The sequence below is a fragment of the Homo sapiens genome, chromosome 9, assembly GCF_000001405.40.
Source record: "Homo sapiens chromosome 9, GRCh38.p14 Primary Assembly".
NCBI lineage: Eukaryota > Metazoa > Chordata > Mammalia > Primates > Hominidae > Homo > Homo sapiens.
This window is the reverse complement of record NC_000009.12, coordinates 61,189,917-61,212,413: the sequence shown is the minus strand read 5'-3', so window position 1 is coordinate 61,212,413 and position 22,497 is coordinate 61,189,917. Positions and strand designations below refer to the sequence as shown.

The 22,497-nt window shown below is 45.7% G+C and overlaps 1 protein-coding gene and 2 long non-coding RNA genes across 4 annotated transcripts; 1 reads left to right on the top strand and 2 right to left on the bottom strand.

The window, feature by feature from the left end:
• Positions 1-40: 40 nt before the first annotated feature.
• Positions 41-7,154, bottom strand: FAM74A4 (family with sequence similarity 74 member A4). Of its 2 annotated transcripts, NR_110998.1 has the most exons (3): positions 6,395-7,154; positions 1,469-1,552; positions 41-1,140 (listed from the first exon to the last, which is right to left on the bottom strand). It is a non-coding gene; the product is annotated as a family with sequence similarity 74 member A4 (long non-coding RNA). The 2 variants fall into 2 exon arrangements; NR_026802.1 differs by lacking the exon at positions 1,469-1,552.
• A 1,813-nt stretch (positions 7,155-8,967) lies between these two features.
• Positions 8,968-18,203, top strand: LOC124902165 (uncharacterized). The gene is made up of 2 exons (XR_007061523.1): positions 8,968-9,594; positions 16,843-18,203. It is a non-coding gene; the product is annotated as an uncharacterized LOC124902165 (long non-coding RNA).
• On the bottom strand, positions 16,134-22,378 carry SPATA31A7 (SPATA31 subfamily A member 7). The gene is made up of 4 exons (NM_015667.2): positions 22,161-22,378; positions 20,904-20,961; positions 20,275-20,335; positions 16,134-20,019 (listed from the first exon to the last, which is right to left on the bottom strand). The coding sequence occupies exons 1-4, from the start codon at positions 22,347-22,349 to the stop codon at positions 16,284-16,286; spliced, it is 4,044 nt and encodes a 1,347-aa protein (NP_056482.2). The 5' UTR covers positions 22,350-22,378; the 3' UTR covers positions 16,134-16,283.
• Between the last annotated feature and the right edge of the window lie 119 nt (positions 22,379-22,497).

Below are 22,497 nucleotides of genomic sequence, written 5' to 3'. Positions count from 1 at the left end.
TATATAAAATACATATTAAATTATGTGTGTGTATATATATATCTTTTAAGACCAATTTTATTGAGATATAATTTATAGACAGTTAAAGTCACTCATGTTGTGTATAATACGATTAGAATTTTGACAAATGTGTACATACAGTTGTATAATTGGTGCCACCATCAAGATATAAAATATTTCCATTACCCATAAAAAGTTTCCTCAGTCCCTTTTGTGGCCAATGAATCCCCACCTTCCTGCAACCAATGGTTTTCTTTCAGAGACTATAGTTTTTTGTTTTCAAACTTTCTGTGAATAGAATATTACACTGTGTATTTGATAATTGTTTTCTTTCAATCAGCATGGTGTTTTTAAATTCATATATGTTATGTATATTACTACTTCATCCTCTATTTTTGCTTAGTAGTATTCCTTTTCTAGCTAGAAAGTAGTATCAAGATACTAAAATATATTTGTTCATCACTTGTTGATAGGCAACTATAAATAAATTTATTGCCATAAGCATGTGTATACAAGCTTTCTGTGAGCATATGTTTTCATTTTTCCTGTATAAATTTCTACAAGTGAGATTTTGGGGTCATATGGTAAATCAGTACCAAAGTATTTTCCAAAGTAATGTATTATTCTTCATTTTCATCAGCAATATGTGGGAGTTCTAGTTGTTCTACATCTTTACCAATATTTGGAATCATCAATCTTCTTAATTTTAGTCATTCTTTTTTTTTTTTTTTTTTTTGAGATGGAGTCTCGCTTTGTCTCCCAGGCTGGAGTGCAATGGCACAATCTTGGCTTATTGCAACCTCTGCCTCTCAGGTTCAAGTGATTCTTCTGCCTCAGCCTCCCAAGTAGCTGGGATTACAGGTGCCTGCCACCACGCCTGGCTAATTTTTTTATTTTTAGTAGAGACAGACAGGGTTTCACCATATTGGCCAGGCTGGTCTTGAACTCCTGACCTCATGATCCGCCCTCCTTGGCCTTCCAAAGTGCTGGGATTACAGGCATGAGCCACCGCGCCCGGCCTTGATGACGTCTCTCTTTCACTTTTGTTCCTGACAGTCCAGACTGCACAATTTCGGATGTGGGAGACTGGGTGATTTCTTTGATCTTCCCAACCAAATATGACTTACTTAAGGATTTTACCTGTAAAATACATTATTAAAGGTTAAGAGAAGGGTGACAATGGTGGCCTCCTTAGCTTAACTGAATGGTTATGGTTTTTAGTTGTAGTTGCAATCTTATGCTTGTGTGGTTCTTTGATTAGTGTTTGCTTTCTCTATCCTATACTATTAACTTCATGAGAATAGGAAAATTATTCCTCTTTGAACTCACCATTGTATTCCCAATTCTAGCACAGCGCCTGGGATTTCCTCTGTATGTGTTTTTGAAATGCACCCAATAGATCCACAGACAGATTTTAAAAATATAAACATAGAAACAAATCCTTCTGGTCTTGAAGCTTGAAACTTACATTTGTTTTCTCTGAGTTTCTTCCTCAGGAAATGGACTCTCAGCTCTCTCAAAAAGTATCAAAGAAGTGAAATTCATCAGACCACTGTGTCGAGACAATGAGATGCCAGATGCCAGATTCCTTATTTGTCATGATTGCTTCCTTAGCCCTCCCTAGTTCCTGTTTTCCTGCTCATAGTTACATTTCTTCCTTGCTATATAATCCCCTAATTTCGGCTGGTTGAGGAGATGGAATTGAGACTGATATCCCATATCCTTAGCTGTAGCATGCAATTAAAGCCTTCTTCCTTGGCAATATTCATTGTCTCAGTGATTGGCTTTCTGTGTGCAAGTAACAGAACCTAGATTGAACTCCTGGTATTTCAGTAACATTTTGTGTGTAAGAAAGAGGCTGGAGGAAGGAGAGTAGGGGAAATAGGAAGAGTGTCTTAATATTTTTGTTGCTATAACAGAATACCACAGACTGAGTGATTTATAAAGAAAATAAATGTATTTAGCTCTGAGGCCTAGGAATGCCAAGAGCATGATGCTGGCCTCTGGAGAAGGCCTTCTTGCTGCCTAACAACATGGCAGGGGGCATCACATAGTGAGAGAGCAAGAGCAAAAGGGCTTATGATAAGGAACCCACTACTATGCTAGTGACATTAATCCATTCATGAGGGCAGGACTGACATAAATCTATTCATGAGGGAAGAGGGATTAAGTTTCCAATCTATGAACTTTTGGAGGATACATTCAAACCATAGCAGAAAGACAGACAGAGATAGATATGGAAAGAGGGAACAAGCACACATCACACATACAAAAACTGGACAATATTTTTGTAAATGAAATGCCTAGAGCCTCTCTCGTATATTGTATTTGTTGATATTTTCTCAATTTAAACTTATCACTCCATAATTTCTCTTTTTCTTCCCCAAAATGATGTACATGTTTCTTCCTTATAACCATAAAACACAGTAATTGTTTCCTGGAAAATTTTAAATGTCTCACTACAATTCAAGTATCATACTTACTATATGTTTTTTATCTTCTGTATATTTTGAAAATGTAAGAGCATTATTGTCTTATACAAAATAGGTGCTAGCAGAGTGAAGAGACAACCAAAAATAACTCAATAAGAAATGGACAAATGATCCAAATAGACATTTTTCAAAAGAAGACATACAGGCCAACAGGCATATAAAAAATGCTCAATATTACTAATCATTAGAGAAAGGCAAATTAAAAACACTTTGAGATATCACCCCATACGTGTTAGGATGGTTATTATAAAATGACAAAATATAACAAGTGTTGGAGAAGACTTGAAGGAAAGGCATCATGGAAAATAGCATGGAGGTTCCTTCAAAAATTAAAAATGAACTACCATATGAACCAGCAATCCCACTACTGGGTATATATCCAAAGGAAATGAAATCCGTATGTCGAAGAGATATCTGCAACACCATATACATTAAATCTTATTTATATATTAGCCCAAGATGTGGAAACAATGTAAGTGTCCATCAGTGGATGAATGAATTTTAAAAAGTAGTATATATACACAATGAAATACTATTCAGCCATAAAAAATAATGAAATCTTATTATTTGTGACAACGTGGATGAACCTGGAGGACATTATGTTAAATGAAACAAGCCAGGCACAGAAAGACCATATGATTTCACTTTTATGTCGAATCTGAAAAAGCTAAACTCATAGAAGTAGAGAGTAGACTGGTGGTTACCAGGAGCTGGACTTGGGGTGGGGAGTGGGGATGTTTATCAAAGGATTCAAAATTTCATTTAGGAGAGGGGAAATATTCAAGAAGAGATCTACCGCACAACATGGTCACTATAGTTAATAACAACATATTGTATTTTTGAAAAAAAATGCAAAGAAACAAAGTAAGTATTAAATAAAAACTGGTTCTTTGAAGCTTTGGCACTGTAATATATGAAGGCCAGAAGCCACATTTATATAGTTCCGTTTCTTGAGCATCCAAGACAATGGATGAGATGACAGTGTTGAGGAAGACAGGTCACTCACTGCGAACACTAGATTCAGCTTCTCCCCCTGCTGTTTGACTCATTCTGCAGAAGGTGAGAATTTATCTGAAGGAGTTTACATATTTTTATGTGACAATGTATTCCTGAGAAGATACCAAATTCTTTCTTCTACATCAAAAATACAGCATGAAACTGACAAGAGAGCACATAAATGATGATTTTTTTTTTTAAGTTTCCAGGAATATCACATGTATCATATTACTGAAAAGAAAAAGAGCATTTTATGCCATGAAAAACTTTGGATATCCTTGAATAATGTTGACTAAAAACAGTGAGTTTATTTAGTATTCATTGTGTCTATATTTGGAGTGTATATTTTTAGTATTTGTCATCTTGCTTATCAAACTCCTGAATCTCACTTAAAAAGTATTTTCCAAAGTTTTTGAAATTTCTCCACAAAAGAAGAAAAAACAAAAAAGCAAGTATTGGAAGTCAAATAGGTTTGAGAAATATTATGACACATGTCCTTCTTGCACATCATAAAGCCTCTAACACTTTTCATAGTAAACCAATAAATGAAACTCAGACTTCTTGCTTTGCTTAATCAAAAAATTAAAGTTTTCCAAACTTCTTTGACTACAGAATCTTTTGACAACACAATATTGATCATTGCACACTTTGAGAGATATTACTCTACAAAAGTCACTGCACAGCACCACTAAAATATGGTGACCGATAAAATGGGCAAAGGTCATTCAGTGAAAGTTTCAAAGCAAAGAGAATGAATGAATATATATATATATATATATATATATATATATATATATATATATGGATGTCTACTTTTTGGATTACAGTTTTCAGATTATGTTTGTTTTAAATAAGCCAGTCTGCTTTCATAATAATTATACTTTTAAGCCATTTTCTGATGAGACATTTGTCATCATGAGAACAATGTAGTAAAAGTTTGTTACACTGGGGATTAAGATATTAGAGTTTCCATTCAAGATTCCCTAATACTGGAAGAGGTTCACTTAAATTCCATGATTCTATGAGAGGAGTCAAATCTGAGGTGCAGGCTCTGCACCTTCCCAGGCCTGCAGGGGCTTTGCACCTTCTTGCGGAACAGTTGCCAGCTGTTATCGCTTCACTCTTAGGTCACTGCCTTCAGTCAAGTCTTTTTTTTTTTTTTTTTTTTAGACAGAATTTCGCTCTTGTTGTCCAGGCTTGAGTGCAATGGTGCAGTCTCGGCTCACTGCAACCTTCGCTTCCCGGGTTCAAGCAATTCTCCCGTCTCAGCCACCTGAGTAGCTGGGATTACAGGCACCCGCCACCAAGCCCAGCTCATTCTTTTTGTATTTTTAGTAGAGATGGGGTTTCATCATGTTGGCCAGGCTGGTCTTGAACTCCTGACCTTGGGTTATGCACCCACCTTGGCCTCCTAAAGTGTAGGGATTACAGGCGTGAGCCACCATGCCCGGCCCCAAGTCAAGTCTTTTTCACAGCCTTGGTTCACCATAAAACTAAGGTGGACAATTGTCATGGACAGAATTGTGTTGCCTCAAATTTATGTTGAAGTCCTCACCTCTAGTACCTCAGAATGGGGCTGTATTTGGAAAGAGGACCTATAAAGAGGTAATTGAGGTAAAATTAGGTTATATGGGTGGGCCCTAATCAGTAAGACTGATTTCCTTGTAAGACAAGGAGATGTGGACAGAGACCACACACAGACCACAGGACAATCATGTGAGGACACAGTAAGAAGGTGGCCATTGGCAAGGGAAAAGAGAGAGGCCTCAGAAGAGACCAAATGTGCTGATTCCTTGACCTTGGACTTCCAGCCTCCAAAACTGTGAGAAAAGAAATTTTTTATGGCTGCATAGTATTCCATGGTGTATATGTGCCACATTTTCTTAAAAATGATGAGTTCATGTCCTTTGTAGGGACATGGATGAAATTGGAAATCATCATTCTCAGTAAACTATCACAAGAACAAAAAACCAAACACCGCATATTCTCACTCATAGGTGGGAATTGAACAATGAGAACACATGGACACAGGAAGGGGAACATCACACTCTGGGGACTGTTGTGGGGTGGGGGGAGGGGGGAGGGATAGCATTGGGAGATATACCTAATGCTAGATGACGAGTTAGTGGGTGCAGCATACCAGCATGGCACAGGTATACATATGTAACTAACCTGCACATTGTGCACATGTACCCTAAAACTTAAAGTATAATAATAATAAATAAACAAAGAAAGAAAGAAAGAAAAAAAGAAATTTATGTTACTTAAGCCACTCAGTCTGTGGTATTTTGTTATGGCAGCCCTAGTAAACTAATACAAATATTTTTAGGGACAACAAACCATGGACTTTGTTATTCTAGTAAGATGACTTTAGCACTATTACCTACTTCTACCTTGAAGTGGTAAAAAAAGGCAGTGAGAAGCATTTCCATGGAGTGTATAAATCGTGTCCCGTGAAACAGAATTAGCTAATAAGGTTAACACCTGTCAGCTGTATATGATGCTGCGTCTCCAATCTCCATCCGGACAGCAAAGGGGAAGGCATGGACAGGAGACCTGCCTTCAGAAGAGCAGCTGACAAAGGGGCCCACAGCCTGGGGACGGTGACGGCAGTAGCCCCCCGAGGCCTGGGATCCCACAGCACAATTGTGAAGGGAAAGTCTTACTTGCTGGGCCCAGATGTGTAATTTTCTCCCACCACTGTTTTTTTTTGTGAAAAATTCTTAAATAAACATGGTGTTGGACATTTTTCTGACTAGGAAGTTAGGATATTTGCTTTTCTAGCATCTTTATTAGATGACTTTTTATGTTTGCAAAGTCACTCAGAAAAAACTTCATCCTCCCAACACCTCCCTGGACCACAGTCCCCACAAATGACATTGAACTCACAACATAAAGGAACTCACCACTAGGTAAATAGGTGCTTGACTGTGATTTAACACCTGAATTACTAAAATTGATTGCAATAATTATCCAAAGAAAAACAGCCAAGTGCAGCAGTAACGACAGCCTCTGAACTCTCTCCACATCTTCTTGTGGACAGCCTTTGAGCTCTCTCCATGTCTTCTCCGGGACAGCCTCTGAACTCTCTGCACGTCTTCTTGCAGACAGCCTCTGAGCTGTTTCCATGTCTTCTCCGGGACAGTCTCTGAGTTTCTGAGCTCTTTCCACGTCTTCTCCGGGACAGCCTCTGAACTCTCTCCACGTCTTCTCTGGGACATCCTCTGAGCTCTCCACGTCTTCTCTGGGACAGCCTCTGAGCTCTTTCCACGTCTTCTCTGGGACAGCCTCTGAGCTGTCTCCACGTCTCCTCCAGGACAGCCTCTGAGCTCCCTCCACATCTTCTCTGGGTCTCCTGTGGAGTCTGATCACCTTTCAGTTAAGGCATCTCCTGTGAGCAGCCCAGTTGGCTACTCTGAGTTCTGGGGGTAGCTGTCCTTGGTTTCTCTGAATTGCCCAGAAACCAACCTTTCTGTTGCCCATCGTAGTGCCTACGTGGCTTAGCTGGAGCCCTACCCTGCTTTTGTTGCCCAACAAATGCCTATGTGACAGAGCTAAATTCCCATTCAGCTTTAACTGCTTAGTTTTAGAAAACAGGATGTCTGGGGTCAGAAGTTCCTTCTTAGGACTAAACTGGCTGAAGCTGGCAAAATCCGCAATGGCAGCTTGACCTCTGAAAAACCTCTAGCTTCATTATGATCCAATTTCCATGCTAAATGACACTCCCACTGGCACCTTGACAGTTGACAATCACCATGACAATGGCCAGAAGAGACCAAAAACAGGCAGAAAAGAGGTGGCTCTTTGATTCCAAAAAAACCTACCTCCCTTCCCAAGAAAAGCTATGAATATTTCTCCCTTTCCTCTGTATACCCAGCCCCTTCATTAAGAATCCTCAGTTCTCAGGCTCTGAGAAGTTGATTTGCAGGCTATGCTCCCACTTCTGCAATTCCATGGCCATTGAAAAAAGCCCACACTGTTTGATACTCACTCTCGGTTTGGTGTATTGGCTTCACACCAAACAAGAAAGAGCTCCTTTAGGGGTAGTCAGGACCCTGATTATATTCCCACATAGAAACTGTTCCCACTCACTACTGGCACAGCAGAACACATAAACTGTCAGATGGCTCCATTTCAATGATTTGACTTGTAATTCTCAATTGTTTCTGTTCCTAAGATTTTAGGACTTTCTATCAACTCATAAAAAAAATCTTTAAAAAGGTAAGGCAACCTTCAAATCTAAGATGCTCAGCTTTAAACTAGTAAGTTCTTAAGGATGTTTTTTTTCCTTCAAGGAAACTATTCTCCTCTTTGCTGAGCAATAATACAGGTTTTAATATTAAATAAGTACACAAAGTAAAAGAAACAGACAAAAATGTCTTCATAGCAAGGCTGTTAACAGATTTCTTTCTTTTTTTTTTATTTTTGAGATGGGGTCTCACTCTGTTGCCCAGGCGGGAGTGCAGTGGCACAATCTCAGCTCACTGCAACCTCTGCCTCCTCAGTTCAAGTGATTCTCCTGCCTCAGCCTCCCAAGTTGCTGGGATCACAGGTGCCTGCCATCACGCCCGGCTAATTTTTTTGTATTTTTAGTAGAGACGGGGTTTTGCCATGTTGGCCAGGCTGGTCTCAAACTGCTGACCTCAGGTGATCCGCCCACCTTGGCCTCCCAAAGTGCTGGGATTACAGGCATGAGCCACCGTGCCTGGCCAGATTTCTAATATACGTAAAGAAAAAAGAAAAATTTTCAAATATTTGTTTAGATAAGTACTGATATTTAAAAAAACAACCAAGCCTAAATCCCTAGATTTACAATTTTTAAAAAATAAGAAAAGCAATGTAATTCACAGAATAAAATCTTTTGGAGTAAAGTAATATAACTCTAACAAATTGGTAAATCTAGGCAAGAAATGACTTGCCCAAGTAACAGACCTAGTAGGTGGAGAGTTCATCTGACTCCAGAAACCACACTCTACAAAATAAACTTATTGACGTGAAGAATGTATATAATCTGTAACTGGTGTGAAACTGTGGCAGAAATACAAAGAGCCGTGGTCTTGCTCATGATGTTCAAAGGCAATATTTGAACTGAGGGATGGCTGTGTGAATTGAAGTGGTCACTGGAGAAACGTGTTTGAGATTGTGAACCATGGGGAACAGGGGGTGGTAATTCTGGATTTTCGGCATAGAGGAGAAAGAAAGAACTGCAAACATCATTACAGTGAAGGAGGGTGAGGCCCTCCGAAAACTGATTGCGTTTCACCAGAAACACTGATCCAGTGGGGGCAGCTGAAGCACGAAAATGATTAGAACCAGAGTGATGTCACCCACTTTTCTTTCTTTCTTTCTTTTTCTTCTTTTTTTTTGAGACAGAGTCTCGCAGTCTCGCTCTGTCTCCCAGGCTGGAGTGCAGTGGCGCGATCTCGGCTCACTGCCAGCTCCGCCTCCTGGGGTCACGTCATTCTCCTGCCTCAGGCTCCCGAGTAGCTGGGACCACAGGCGCCCCCACCATGTCCGGCTAATTTTTTTGTATTTTTAGTAGAGAGGGGGTTTCACCGTGTTAGCCAGGATGGTCTCGATCCCCTGATCTCGTGATCTGCCCGCCTCGACCTCCCAAGGTGCTGAGATTACAGGCGTGAGCCACCGTGCCTGGCCGATGTCACCCACGTTTCTTAGGAAAGACGTTAGCATCCTCTAAATCCTCACCGACTGTGCCTGGCGCAGCATTATTTTGCAGTTTTCTGGGATTTACAGTTGGCATCATTTGCACAGCGGCAGCGTGACGTGGCTGTGGAGAGCACGGAAGCTCTGTCCCCACGGAAGTGGGCTCTTCTGGTTGCAACATGGTGGAGGCCAGCGCGGCCTCAGGTGAGGGAAGATGCCACAGCAAACCTCTGAGCAACCAAGATGACAAGCACCTGCTTGGAAAAGGTGACAAGCCACAAGGCCATAGGCCCAGTTATAAGGATGAATTGTGTTACACGAATGGTTATAAACCTGACCGACCTCAGAAGGTATATGGAGGAGGCAATTATCAAGCCCCTTGATGGTCTGTGGCTGGATGCACCATACTTTGCCAACGGTGTGAGCATGGCAGAGAATGTAGGTGTGTATATAGGGGAAAACCTCCAGAAAGTTTTTTCTGTGGGAGTTCTTTGTAAAATAATAACAATGCAACTGGAATTATATTGCAATCTATAAAGGGAAATCACTCTTAGGGATCAACATTGTAGAAAGACAACTTGTTTTTTGCTTCTTTGCTCAGTGTTAAGAAGTCATCACATCATTGTCACCCTCCCCACATTCTGTTCTGTAGTGCCCGATTTGTTGAAAGCAGTATGAGGCCTGTTTTAAACATAAATCTATTCTAAATCTAAATTTGTAATACATTCTGAATGTCATTTAGACAGTCTTTTGCCTGGAGATTAAAAATTACTTTATTTCTAGCAAAGTGCTCTGACGTAAAATATTTTAACAACAAAGAAGATCTGTGTTTGTTGTTTTCTCCATTATCTAATTATTGATATCCATTTCATCTGGGCACATATAAATGGTAAAAATATTTACAAGCTTTGAATTAGGTGAATCTAATTAAAAATAAAATATAGATGTTAATAGAGCCTGGAAATATTGTCAATATCTTTTTAATAGATTGAGCCCCGTTGATTATTTCTTCTGGGGTAAAGGCTCAAATTTATTCTGTGAAATTAGACACTCAAATCATCTGAGGCAATATATGGCAGATGAATATACACTGATTGATGGAAATGTTGCTTTAATGCACATTGTTCATTGCAATTTTGCGTAGATTACTGAACTATGAATTACTATTGAGGAACAGCACATTCAACGTGTCATAGCAATCAACTATTTAGTATGGACATTTTCTATGTTTCTAGATTTTCTGGCCACTCTGAGCAAATTTAAATCAAATGACTGAAGTATAATCACTTATTTTAACTCTGTTAAAACAGTCAACTTGAAAAGTATATTTTTCTGTATGAATTTTTTTTTCTAATTGACTCTATTTTGTTCTGATACCTAAACTTATTTAAGTTGCGCTGTTGAAAAAAACTATAGGCCAAGCGCGGTGGCCCATGCCTGTAATCCCAGCACTTTGGGAGGCCGAGGAGGGTGGATCACGTGGTCAAGAGATCCAGACCATCCGGGCTAACACAGTGAAACCCTCTCTCTACTAAAAAAAAAAATACAAAAAAATTAGCCAGTCATTGGTTGCTGGCGCCTGTAGTCCCAGCTATTCAGGAGGCTGAGGCAGGAGAACGGTGTGAACCCAGGAGGCTGAGCTTGCAGTGAGCCAAGATCACGCCACTGCACTCCAGCCTGGGTGACAGAGCAAGACTCTGTCTCAAAAAAAAAAAAAAAAAAACAACAAAAACAAAACTATATATATATGTATATGTATAATCTGAAGATCCATGTCGATTCCATTATTTTACGATGCAGTGACATTATAAGGAAGTGGAAAAATTAAGTTAAAATTTTTTAATTATGATGAATATAGAAAGGGGATTTCTTGTTGAAACAAATAGGCTAAAAGAGCCTTGATGTCAGCTATGCCTCTCTTAGAGAAAAGACTGTGACCCTGTCATCCCGTTGGATAATCTAGTGATATGCTTTAACAGCTATTGTTAAAATAGATTTTACCAAGGCAAGGACAACAGTTTGCTTATGAGCAATGAGAAGTAAGTAGTCTTACCAGAGTGCACCCTTTGGAAAGTGCTGCGTATATAATTAGTGAGGCCATTCATAATTCATTTTTATTGTACAAATGCTGATTAAATGTATACCTTCTTCCACTCAAATGTTAACGTGTCCCTTCCTCAATACATTTTATTAGGCTATGTATATATCTCAAGCATAGATTAATTTGTTTTGTAAGATTTCAAAACATTCCTTTTTTAGCCCTGTAATGAATATAAAATGGATCCCTACTGCCCATCTTAGAGAATGCGTGTTTCATAGAACTGTTTAAAAAATAAATCCTTTTAAATTGCCCATCTGCTTAAGCTATGTTTGTGGAACATTAGGACTAAGTCATGTCTGACAAACATGTGTCATACTACTATTTGAGGGCATTACTGCATTTTAAGGAATAAAATAATATTATTAAGAAGTATAATTTTTCCAAGTGATACAATAAGAATATTGCTAGAGATTTGACCTATTTGTGAAAAATCTTTGCATGATTATTAGCTTGCTAAAAATAAAATGAACTCTGCAAACGTGATCCAAGCTGTTCTGTATGAAATTATGTGCTAGTTGCACAGTCCCCTGGGAGACCAGTGTGAGTCCAGATGCCTCTTTGCTGGTTTGTTTCATTTCTGGGGTTCATTTTCTAGAGGTTTTTATCATATTTTCAAAGTACAGAAGTCAGGCATCTCAAATTCAAGTCTTGTCTCCCCCAAACTTTAAAAAATATATGACATTGATGTAATTTGGCTGGATAATAACAAACTGAACAAATAAGATATTTTCTTTCATTGAAGGTTGGTAACATTTTCTTCACTTAAAAATTTTTGGTTGGGCACAGTGGCTCATGCCTATAATCTCAGCACTTTGGGAGGCCGAGGCGGGTGGATCACCTGAGGTCAGGAGTTCGAGTCCAGCTGGCCAACATGGTGAAACCCTGTCTCTACTAAAAATACAAAAATTAGCCGAGCATGGTAGTGCACACCTATAATCCCAGCTACTCAGGAGGCTGAAGCAGGAGAATCTCTTGAACTCCAGAGGTGGAGGTTGCAGTGAGCCAAGATTATCCCACTGGACTCCAGCCTGGGCGACAGAGCAAGACTCCATCTCAAAAAATAATTTAAAAAAATGAATTTTCTAAATTGTGGGTCAGAATTCAAGCTAATGGAAACCTGTGGAAGAAAGAATTTTGCAGGTCTGCCTGTGGAATCCATAATTCTTTTCAGAGGCAGCGCTATTACAAAAAAAAAAAAAAAAAGTGTGAGGATGTCCCCAAGCAGAAAACCGCCTTCACTGCAATGCTGACAGTATCTGGGTGTCCCAGGGTTCCTGGGGAGTGCAACTGATATCCCGGCTGTGCTGCTACTGTGCTGAGTGGTTTTATATCCACTGAGAAGGATGTGTCAACAGGTGGCTGCTCAGGCACCTAAAGAATGGATGGATGTGAGGTCTCTGTGAAGCCTCTGGGCCAGATCTCTGAGGAGTATCTGTGAGGGGCATCTCACCTATGGTGAGGACGCTGTGTGAGCGCTGCATGGGAGGCCTCAGTGCCAGGCTCCTGGTGAGAACTCTGAGTGAGGTCTCTGTGGAGCACGCAGAATGCGTGAGTTCTGTGTGGAAAGTCTCTAAGAAATCCGAGTCAGTTTCTGTACGAGGCCTGTGAGGCCACATGAGGTCTCTGTGGGAGGACTCCATGGGGCAGCAAGAGGGCTCCATTGCCTCTTGTGAGGCCTCTGTATGAGGCCTTTGCAGAAGGTCTGTGTGGGAGGTATCTTCCAGAGGTCTCTGTGGGGTCTCTGTGGGAAGTCCCTGTGTGAAATCTCCGTGCTAGGTCTCTGTGTGAGGGACCATGGACTATATGAAGTCCCTGTGTGAGGACCCTGTGTGAGGACCCTGTGAAAGCCCTACAGAATCTCTGTGTGGAATGTTTGAGGGAATTCTATGTGAGAGGTTTCTGGGCAATGAGTGTGGAGCAACCTGAGGCCTGTGTGAGGAATCTATACAAGGTCTCTGTGGAGAGTGGGAGGTCTCCAGGCAAGGTCTCTGTGTGAGGAGGACTCTGAGAGAGGTCTCTGTGAGGCAGTGGGGGGTGCCGTGTGCCATTTCTGGGGCTGGAGGCCGGAGGTTGCAGTGAGCTGCATGAGTCTCTGCATGAGGTCCCTGTTTTATGACTCTGTGTGAAGTCTCTGAGGTCTTTGTGGGGTCTCTGTGTGAGATCTCCCTGTGAGAACCATGGAAGGTCTCTGACATTTGCGGGAGGTCTCTGTGGGACTGAGTGAAGTCTCTCAGCGTGGCCTCTGTGGGGTTCTCTGGGTGAGGACTCTGGGAATCTCTGTGCTAGGTCTCTGTGGGGCACCATGAGGACTCTGAGAGCTCCGTGGGGTCTCTGTGGAGGCTGCAGTGTGTCTCTCTCTGTGGCAGTGAGAGGTCCCCGTGTGCTCACTCTGTATGAGATATCTCTGTGAGGTTCCTGTGGGAGGTCTCCGTGGGTCTCTCCATTGCTGGCCTCGCTGCATGTCATGGGAGACTGAGCTGCAGAAGGGCTAAGGGGTTGTTGTTTCCTGTGTTCTTGCTGGTCTCTCAGCGTTGCCTGTGGCGCTTCTCCTGGCCTGAGCCATGGGCTCCACGTCCAGCTCCTCCACATCCCAGAACTCGCGTCTTGGTTTCCTGAGGGAACCCAGCAGCAGCCAGGCATGGCCCATCCTCAGTGGTCAGGGTCCCAGCTCTGTGCCACACTCTCCTGAGCTCCCGGAGGACCGGGGCTGCTCTCTGCTCCAGGTCCCAGCTCCTCCTGCTGATCCTGGCTCCGCTGTCACCGCTGGGCCCACCTTGGAGGCTGCTTCAGTTATCCGGGCCCCAGAGAGGACCTGGCCCCAGGAGAAGCCACAGGCTGGGGACTGTGCCCACTGCCCCCTGCACCCCGGTGCCGGCCAGTCCCACATGTTGGGGGCAGGGCCATTTCCATTGTCATCTAGATCAGTGGCACTGCCTGGCACTGGCCTCTCCACCATTGAAATGAGGCCCCTGGAAGTGGGCCTCTTGCACGCCTGTATGTGGCACAAGGCAGAGAAAACTCCCTCTAGAGACCTGGCTCCTCCTGTCCATGATTTGTGGAGACCTCCTGCTTTCCCATATGGACAGGGCCCAGAGAGGAGGAAAGCTGTGCTGAAAGCAGAGGGAGACAGCAGGGATGGCTCCTGTCCTGCCCATACCCTGCCCATTCTGGACAGGTCACTTCCAGCTCCCTTGTATGTTCAAATCCTGCCTGCCTGCATCTTCCCTTGCTGGTCTCTGGGACAAGCAAGGATGTCAGGAGCCAGGGGAGATTTGCTGTGTGACCCCAGCTCAGCTGCTGGGCCCTTGTAAGTCGCCACCTTTCCCCAGGGAGCAGTCCTGGGGCTACGTGTATATTAAAGGTCACCAGACTTCGACTCATGCCTGGGGTTCTCTAGTCCTTGCTTTTCCACCTATTGTCAACACATCCTTTAAAAAATTCAATAGGTAGGCCAGGCGCCATGGCTCATGCCTGTAATCCTAGCTCTTTGGGAGGCTGAGGCCAGTAGATCACCTGAGGCAAGGAGTTCGAGGCCAGCCTGGCCAACATAGCAAAACCCCGTCTCTACTAAAAATATAAAAATTAGTCGGGCATGGTGGTGGGTGCCTATCATCTCAGCCACTTGGGAGGCTGAGGCAGAAGAATCGCTTGAACCCAGGGGCCGGAGTTTGCAGTGAGCCAAGATTGCACTACTTCCCTCCAGCCTGGGCAAAACAGTGAAACTCTGTCTCAAAAAAAAAAAAAGTTCAATAGATTATTATGTGCAAGCTTATCGAAGATGTTAAGAAATTCATCTTCCTTATTCACTTTGCCTTCTCACTAATATGGCCCTCTGTGTTGGGGGTAAATGTGGTTTTTCTAGGGGTCTGTGATCTGGGAGCTGGAGCAGAGACAGACCCTGGGGTGTGGCCAGGATGAGACACTAGGCCCCTCTAGGCCTGTCTAAGGGGTTGGAATGTCAGAGTCTCCTGGCTCACGGCACCACTGATGGCTCCCTCACACACGCCACTTTGCCACCTTTTCAATTCTCTGTCTGCATCCCCTGTAGCTCTACAGAGTCCCACCATCAGAAGCCTCTGCACACACAGGCATACCCTACTCCATTCACCCAGAACTACTTCGCTGAAGCTGAGAGACATGTAGGTGAGATAGACAAAGGCCGGTGACCCAGGAGCAGGGTCATTCACTCATCTGGGGCAGGGGAGTTCACGGCCCTCAGCAACCTCCATGAAGGCTGCCCCCCTGACCCCCTAGCCCCCACCTACACATGCACAGAGCTGGAAGGTCTGTCCCCACTGCCACTCCAGAGTGCGAGAAAGGGAGAGGCAGTGGGATGGGGACTCTCTGCTTTGCATGTTGGCTGAGCTAAGAGAGCCCATCTCCATCCCAGCCTTTGTCAGGGAGAGAAGGGGCTTCCCAGGGGCAGACGTTATCTATTCTCCACCAGGATACCCAGGGTCAAGACTTCTCCCACTTCTAAACTCAGGGCCCAGCACTCTCCCACCCAAACTTCCACTATTTTGTGACACATGAAGGTACTCGGCTGTGGCACTTCCTGGAGCCTGCATGGAGATGTTCAGTCCCGTGACATCTCTGCAAACCTTCTCCCTACAGCTGCATGAAGTTTGAGGTAGAGTAAGTAGTGGAAAGATGGGTTGAACCTTATTTCAGAGTGGGACCTTCATAGGTTTTTCTCATCTTGTTTTTAGAATTTTTTGTTGTTTGTGTAAAGACGGTATTACGGAAACATAAGGTTCAGTGAAGGAACTCAGGATGAAGGTGGGCTTACAGCACCACTGTCAACATCCCTCCATGTCCTGTCGCTTCTGGAAACCAAGCCCACACCAAGCATGGCACAAATAAAAGCCATCACCCTCTTATGAATAAAAAACCATATATATTGTGGAATATTAAATGTTCTGCATGTACTAACATGAGAGAAAATATTTTTTCTCTACATAGAGTGAATTTTTTCTTGGGGACTTGTTTTTCTCCAGGGAAGGCTAAAAAAGAATTTGTGACTGACCAAATCAGATACCTTCCCAAAGAAGACAGTGCCTTGGACAGTGGTGATGGTGGCTAGAGGCACCGGATGTCTTCGGCCAGTGCTGAGGGGGACTGACTGGGGATACAGCTTTCTTGGGGTGCAAGATTTGGGGATGTCGCAGGCCCCATTGCTCATTGTTGCACCGCACACTTTTCAAGGGCTGTTGATTTCTGATTTGTCTGTCTCTGTTGGGACAACCCTGGCTCTTGAGAGTGGCTTGTTGACTGCTGGCTGCATAGCTCAGTATTCTGCCGTGTTCTGAGTAGAAGAGGTGCCTGTGGTTGCAGGGAAACCCACAGACTGGGGCTTGAAACTTCTGTTTGTGCTGATTTACCTTCGAGGCATGGCGCGCATGGCAAAGTGACATTTTCTCGTCCAGCATTTGTCCAACTGCCGTCATGAGACCCTGAGCTTCAGCACTGCTGCTGTACACACGTGATCTGTTTTTTACTGTTTTTTGGCTCTCAGCAGTGACTGGTGCTGGCTTGCTTTTTTTCTTTGAAAAAATCCACTGAAAAATTTGCTTGATGTTTTCTCCAAAGGGGCTTACTGAAGGAGGCTGTTTCTTTGATGGCAGTAGCTGGACGCCTTCATCCTGATGGGTGTCTTCTGTTTTCCTGACTGGGGTAAGTTGAGGAGTCCTCAATCCTTCAAGCCTTTCTTCATGTTTTTCTAAGTTGGGTTTCCTAGACTTCTCACTCTTGTGAATAGGGGGAAACATTGGCCTTTGGCTCTTGCATGAGCCTTGACAGTTTGGGTTTCTGGGCTCCTCGTGCACCAGTTTGCTCCTTCTGGCTGCCATGAGGTCATGTAGCTCCTGGGAAGCCCGCATGTTCCCAGTAGGCATGCTCTGGAGATGGCCCTGGGGCACTTGAGAAACCAAATTCTCTGAAGCGTGGGGCACAACAGATGCTTGCCCATCTGGAAGGAGCACAACAGCGGCACAAACTTGAGGCTGGGTCTCTGACTTTGTGGCCATTCCAGGCTCAAATTCATTAACAACCTCCTCCATAAGACACAGCTTTCTTGGATCTTGGGAGACAGACACTCTAGGGTGTAGAGAGCTTTTGCTGGTCCCTGGAGCCTCGAAACCATGCACATCCTCACTTGTGGCTTGGAGGTTTGCCAGCATACAGGTTTCCAAGGGGACTCTGCATTGTGGCACTGCCTCCCTTGTCTCTCCAGCCTTTGAAGATTGGGCTCCTAAGCTCCTGCTCTGCTGGATGCTGCCTGTGAGGCTGTACGTGAGGGGCTTAGATGGCCACCTGCCCTCCTGTCCAGCTGGAGGAGGCTTCAAGGGTTCATGATCATTCCAAGATGGGATTCCTCGCGGTGCCCTCTGGAACTGCTTCCATGCAGGTGAGGAGGCCAGAAGACTCTCTGGCATGTGATCAGATGCTTTGGTCAGCACCTGCTTTCTCAGACTTGCCATTGGTGGCTTTCTAAGGAACATGTCCACCTCAACTTCTGAGCCAGCCCCAGATTCACAGGTGGCTGAGGAGGGACCAGCAAGCTGTGTAAGGGACAAGGATGAAACCTTTTCCAGTTTAAAGCACTGAATGGGCTTGAGGACCCTGAGGGGTAGACCCCACCTGTGTTTGGCCCAAAACCTCACAATATGGGCTCCCAACCCCTGCTGAGTACACGGCTCGAGGAAGGAAAGCACCTGGGCTGTGTTCACACAGGCTTTCCCACTTTTCGGGGCTGCTAGATTGCTGGTTTTCACATGGGTGTTGGACACGGGAAGAGCCTGGTTGACAGCAAGCCAGGATCGACGCACACACACGGGGATCAAGCCCTCGTTGGTCTGGCCCAAGTTCCTGCCCATGTGGGCTTTCAGGATGTTTTCTATATGAGTCCTCTCTGTGCATCTTAATAAATCACTTCCCGAGTCACTCCTCAAGGGCTTCCTCAAGTTCCTTTCCAACTCCTCAGAAGTCACCCCCAGAACCTTCCGTGGGAAGCTTTTCATATCCCTGGATAGATTTTGTGGGGTCTCACCCAGAATTTGCCCCAGATGTGGGCACGGGTCCCTCTCTAGCTGGAACTTCACCTTCTGTGCCTCCTTGCTGCTTTCACCTGTGGACATGGAGGACTGCCAGGGACTGGGTTTGCCCTTGGCCTGACTTGTCCCTGGTGATTCATCCCGAAGCTGCATCAGATCCAGAGACTCTTGGATCCTTCCCAGGTTGCCCCAGTGTTGGATGATCCACTTTTTTATGTGTTGCTCCAGTTGTCTCCGGAGTTCAGGACTGACTGGAAAGTTCTCAGGCAGAATGGATGTCAAACTTTCCTGGGGAAGGTTAGGAGTGGAGACACTAAAGACGTCCTGAGATTTTTGGACCCTAGAGGGTAAAGCCAACCTACCTTCTAGTTGTCTCCTCAACAAAGGCCATTCAGGGTGCTGAGTTTCAGGTAGGGAGAGAGCTTGCACTTTATTCTGCGATGCAGGGCAAGCTACTCCAGTGTTCTGAATCAGGGATGGAAAAGCAGGAGATAGGACTGGGAAAGAAGATTGAAGATGGGCCTGAGCCTCGGCCTGAGCCATAGGTGTGGGCCGGAATTGGGGTGTGGATGAAATAAAGGGTTGGCACTCGGGCCCCAGATGGGACAGGGGCTGGGCCTGGAAAAGCAGTGGGGACATTGTAGTCTCCCTTTGAATTGGGCAGACATTGGACATTTCATTGAACAAGAAAGGAGGAGACTGTAAAGTATAAGACCTGTCAGTTACCCAGGCGTTAGCCACCAGGGACTCGCTGTGCAGAGAGGGGAGGCCCCAGAAAAGCTGGCTATAATTCTTCCAAAAACTTTCCTGCCAGAGCCTAGGATCTGAGAGCTTCTGAGGTCCGGGCAGCTGTTTCGAGTTCTCTCCCATGTTCCAGAAGGGTTTTGGGTTTGTGGTGTCCTGCTCAGCATCCAATGATTTAGCCAAATTCCGCAAATAATTTAAGTGCTTTTCTGGGGTCATTCGATTTGTAAATGATCCAACATTTTCTTTTTCTTCCCAAATGTTGACCTTGGCTGTTTCTGTGACTTGTATCCCCACGACATTCTGGCCATCAGAGCTGAGCAAAAACAGGCTACCAGCTTCCATCTGACAGGTCTCTGGTGGGTGGCGGGAAAGATGATCTTGCTGGACTGATGAGTTAAAGGCGCACGAGGTTCTGGCAGTCTCCTGCCACCGGGAGGAGGCAGAAACATGACTGTTTGAGCCACCAAGGCCTGAGATGGCTGGGACAGAAGCCACCAAATCCTCATGTGGAGACAAGCTTTGAGGGACGGTGCCCAGTGGAAATGCCACTGAGTCACAGTGAGATGGAGTTATCAGTGTGGAGTCCCGCAGGGGAGGAGCAGTGAAGCCTTTTGGAGGAGGCAGAGAGCAGGCCAGAGGATCAGGGGTGTGTGGTGGGTGAGGGAAAAGTGCAGGTGGCTCGGGTGAGGGGTGTTCTAGGGGAAGGGAAGGTTCTGGTGGCTGGGAGGCACTTAGGGAGGAGACTGAGGTGGTCATTGGGCCTGGTGATGGGGTGGAGGCCAGATCCTGAGGATGCTTGGCTTGAGGATCCGGGGAAGCTAACGGGGAGAGAATGGGAGCAGCATCTTCCATAGGCTCATGAGAGGACTGGGAGGCTCCATCAGGTGCTCTTTCACCCACCTCACCTGGGGGGTCTGGACCGGAGAGCTGACCAAAGTCACCTTTGTCAAGGTGTGGCCCCAGGAGGCTGCAGGAGACAGGAGGCACGAGCTGCAGCCAGGAGCCGGTGGGGCCGGAGGGCAGAGTGGGTGCTCGGGCCACAGCCCCTCCACCACCCCACACCCTGATTGCCCAATTCTCCTGCTACCCCTCGCCCCAGGGTTTTACTCCCATCCTCTGTCCCCCTGGTCTCCCCATCCCAGGTCAGCTCCAGGCTGCCTGTGGCCCTGGGGTCACGTCCCAGCCCTGGTAGGAAGGATGCAGGGAAGGGGAAGTGCCTCACCTCTGCAGTTGTGAAAGCAGGTCCGAAGTCTCCTCCAGGCCTCTCGGGCACTCTCTACCAGCTGGAAATCAGGAGACTGGGTTAGGGCAGTGAGGGAGGGGCCTGGGTTCTCACAGGAGGCTGAGTGGCTGTTTCTTTAGGGAGGACCATGGGGAATTAGACCCTGGACCCCACCCATCTGTGTCCAAAGCCACATGACCCCGACGTTAATAGCAAGGCATGGAGGACAAGGCTTTTTCATTCACAAAGGGCTTCCACACACGGACCCCCCACCCCCACAGTCCTCACAACTGCCCTGTGGGGAGAAAGGACTGAGGTGGTCTCAAAGAGGAATCAGCCTTAGCAGAGTTGGACAGCTGTTCCCAGGGAGCGGGAGGCCCCCTCACCCCCCTCCGCATCCAGGCAGGCATTGGTCTCCCCAGGACACACACACTGCCCCCTGCTGGGTAACGCCCAGTCCCTGGCCCACCATGGCTTCATTCCCGCATGGAATCTGAGAAGGACCCGGGGTTCTGATTTCCTTCCTAGGAGCCCCCACCTCAGGCTTCTTCAACTGACTTCTTCAGAGTCAGTTCCCTTCGGGACAGATGAGATCAAATTAACTCTAGTGTGCTCTGGCAGAGCCTTACCTCTCAGACTGTGGTTTTTCATCCTGCCTCTGGGCCTCCGCCTCCGCCCTACTGGACACTGGGAGACACGATGACGTACGGAGACAAGATGACGCAGAGAGACAAGATGACAATGGGAGACAAGAAAGGGTGAGAAGCTAGGACCGGCTCTCCCTCTCTGCCCCAGCCCAGCCGCAGCATGCTGCACTCAGGAACCGCATGGCTCTCTCTGTCTTGCTCAGGGAGCTCTGTGTGCTTCCTCCCACTCTTGTTTAAATGGATGATAAACTGCTTTTCTTCTTAGAAAAACAGCAAGAGGGGGCTGGGCGTGGTAGCTCACGCCTATAATCCAAGCACTTTGGGAGGCCAAGGTGGGTTGATCACCTGAGGTCAGGAGTTTGAGACCAGCCTGGCCATGGTGAAACCCCGTGTCTACTAAAAATACAAAAATTAGGCAGGCATGGTGGTGGGCGCCTGTAATCCCCAGCTATTCAGGACTCTAAGACAGGAGAATCGCTTGAACTCAGGAAGCAGAGGTTGCAGTGAGCCGATATCACTCCATTTCACTGCAACCTGCACCACAGAGCGAGACTCCATCTCAAAAAATAAAATAAAATAAAATAAAATAAAATAAAATAAAATAAAATAAAATAAAAATAACACACACAAATAAAATAAAAATACACACACACACACACACACACACACACACACAGAGGGATTTTCAATATGAGGTCCACCACGGACACCTTCAGTCCCTGTTCCTCTGCTCCAGGAACACCCAAGTTCAGGCCCGCAGGCACTGCTGAGCTATCAGGTAGGATTCTGCTTCCCAGAAGACCAGAGGAGACACCAGGCCCTGGTGGGAGGCCCTCAGGGGCCCAGCACAGGCCCCAGATCACCCCACACAGGGGAGGCTGGGCCCTGAGCCACCTGCACCAGAAAGGGGCTGATGAGCCAGGGCTCAGGGCCTGGTCTCGGACAGAGACCTCCCCAGTCTCATGACTGGTACTGGTGCTGAGTCCACTGGTTTGATTTTGCCTTGATGCCTCCTGTGCTCCCCCACAGATGGACTGAGAGCTTGGGATGGAAATCCCAGTACACTATCTACCCCTACCAACCCCTGGCTGCCCTGCCTCTCCCTGGAAGGATGATGTTCTGGTCTCTTCTGAGACTTCCCATCATAGAAGGCTCTCCACTGGATTTGGAAAAGTGGAACTAATAATAAAAAGAAAGGAGAGAATCAAGCTCTGTGGGTTGGGACTGAGGGTTCCTTACCTTTCTCTTCCCAGGCGATGGTGAGGGTGGGTCATCACAACGGAAGTAAGATAAGTAGGGGAGTAATAGGAAGAAGAACCCCAGGGCAAACACCAAAGTGAGGAAGATATCCAACACCCATGGTGTGGAACTGGGGGCGTTTAGCGATGAGGCACTAAGTAATTTTAAAGGAAAGGGAAGATTCTCCATGTGAATAGGCGCGTTGCTTTCAAGCAACTGAGCTCTGGGCATCCCCGTGGGGACTAGGGACTGGGGCCCAGGCCTGCGTCACAGAGGTGGGGCCTTGATGTCACAAAGGGCTCCTTTGTTGGGGAGGGGCAGTGGGAGGGGGAGGCGC

Excerpts from the sequence above, each read along its gene's own strand:
- SPATA31A7 (NM_015667.2), bottom strand. The coding sequence starts at position 22,349 with ATGGAGAATCTTCCCTTTCCTTTAAAATTACTTAGTGCCTCATCGCTA. Across the intron at positions 20,336-20,903 it reads GAAAAACCACAGTCTGAGAG|CTGGTAGAGAGTGCCCGAGA; the intron begins GTAAGGCTCTGC and ends CCTGATTTCCAG. Across the intron at positions 20,020-20,274 it reads CTGCTTTCACAACTGCAGAG|CCTCCTGGGGCCACACCTTG; the intron begins GTGAGGCACTTC and ends TGTCTCCTGCAG.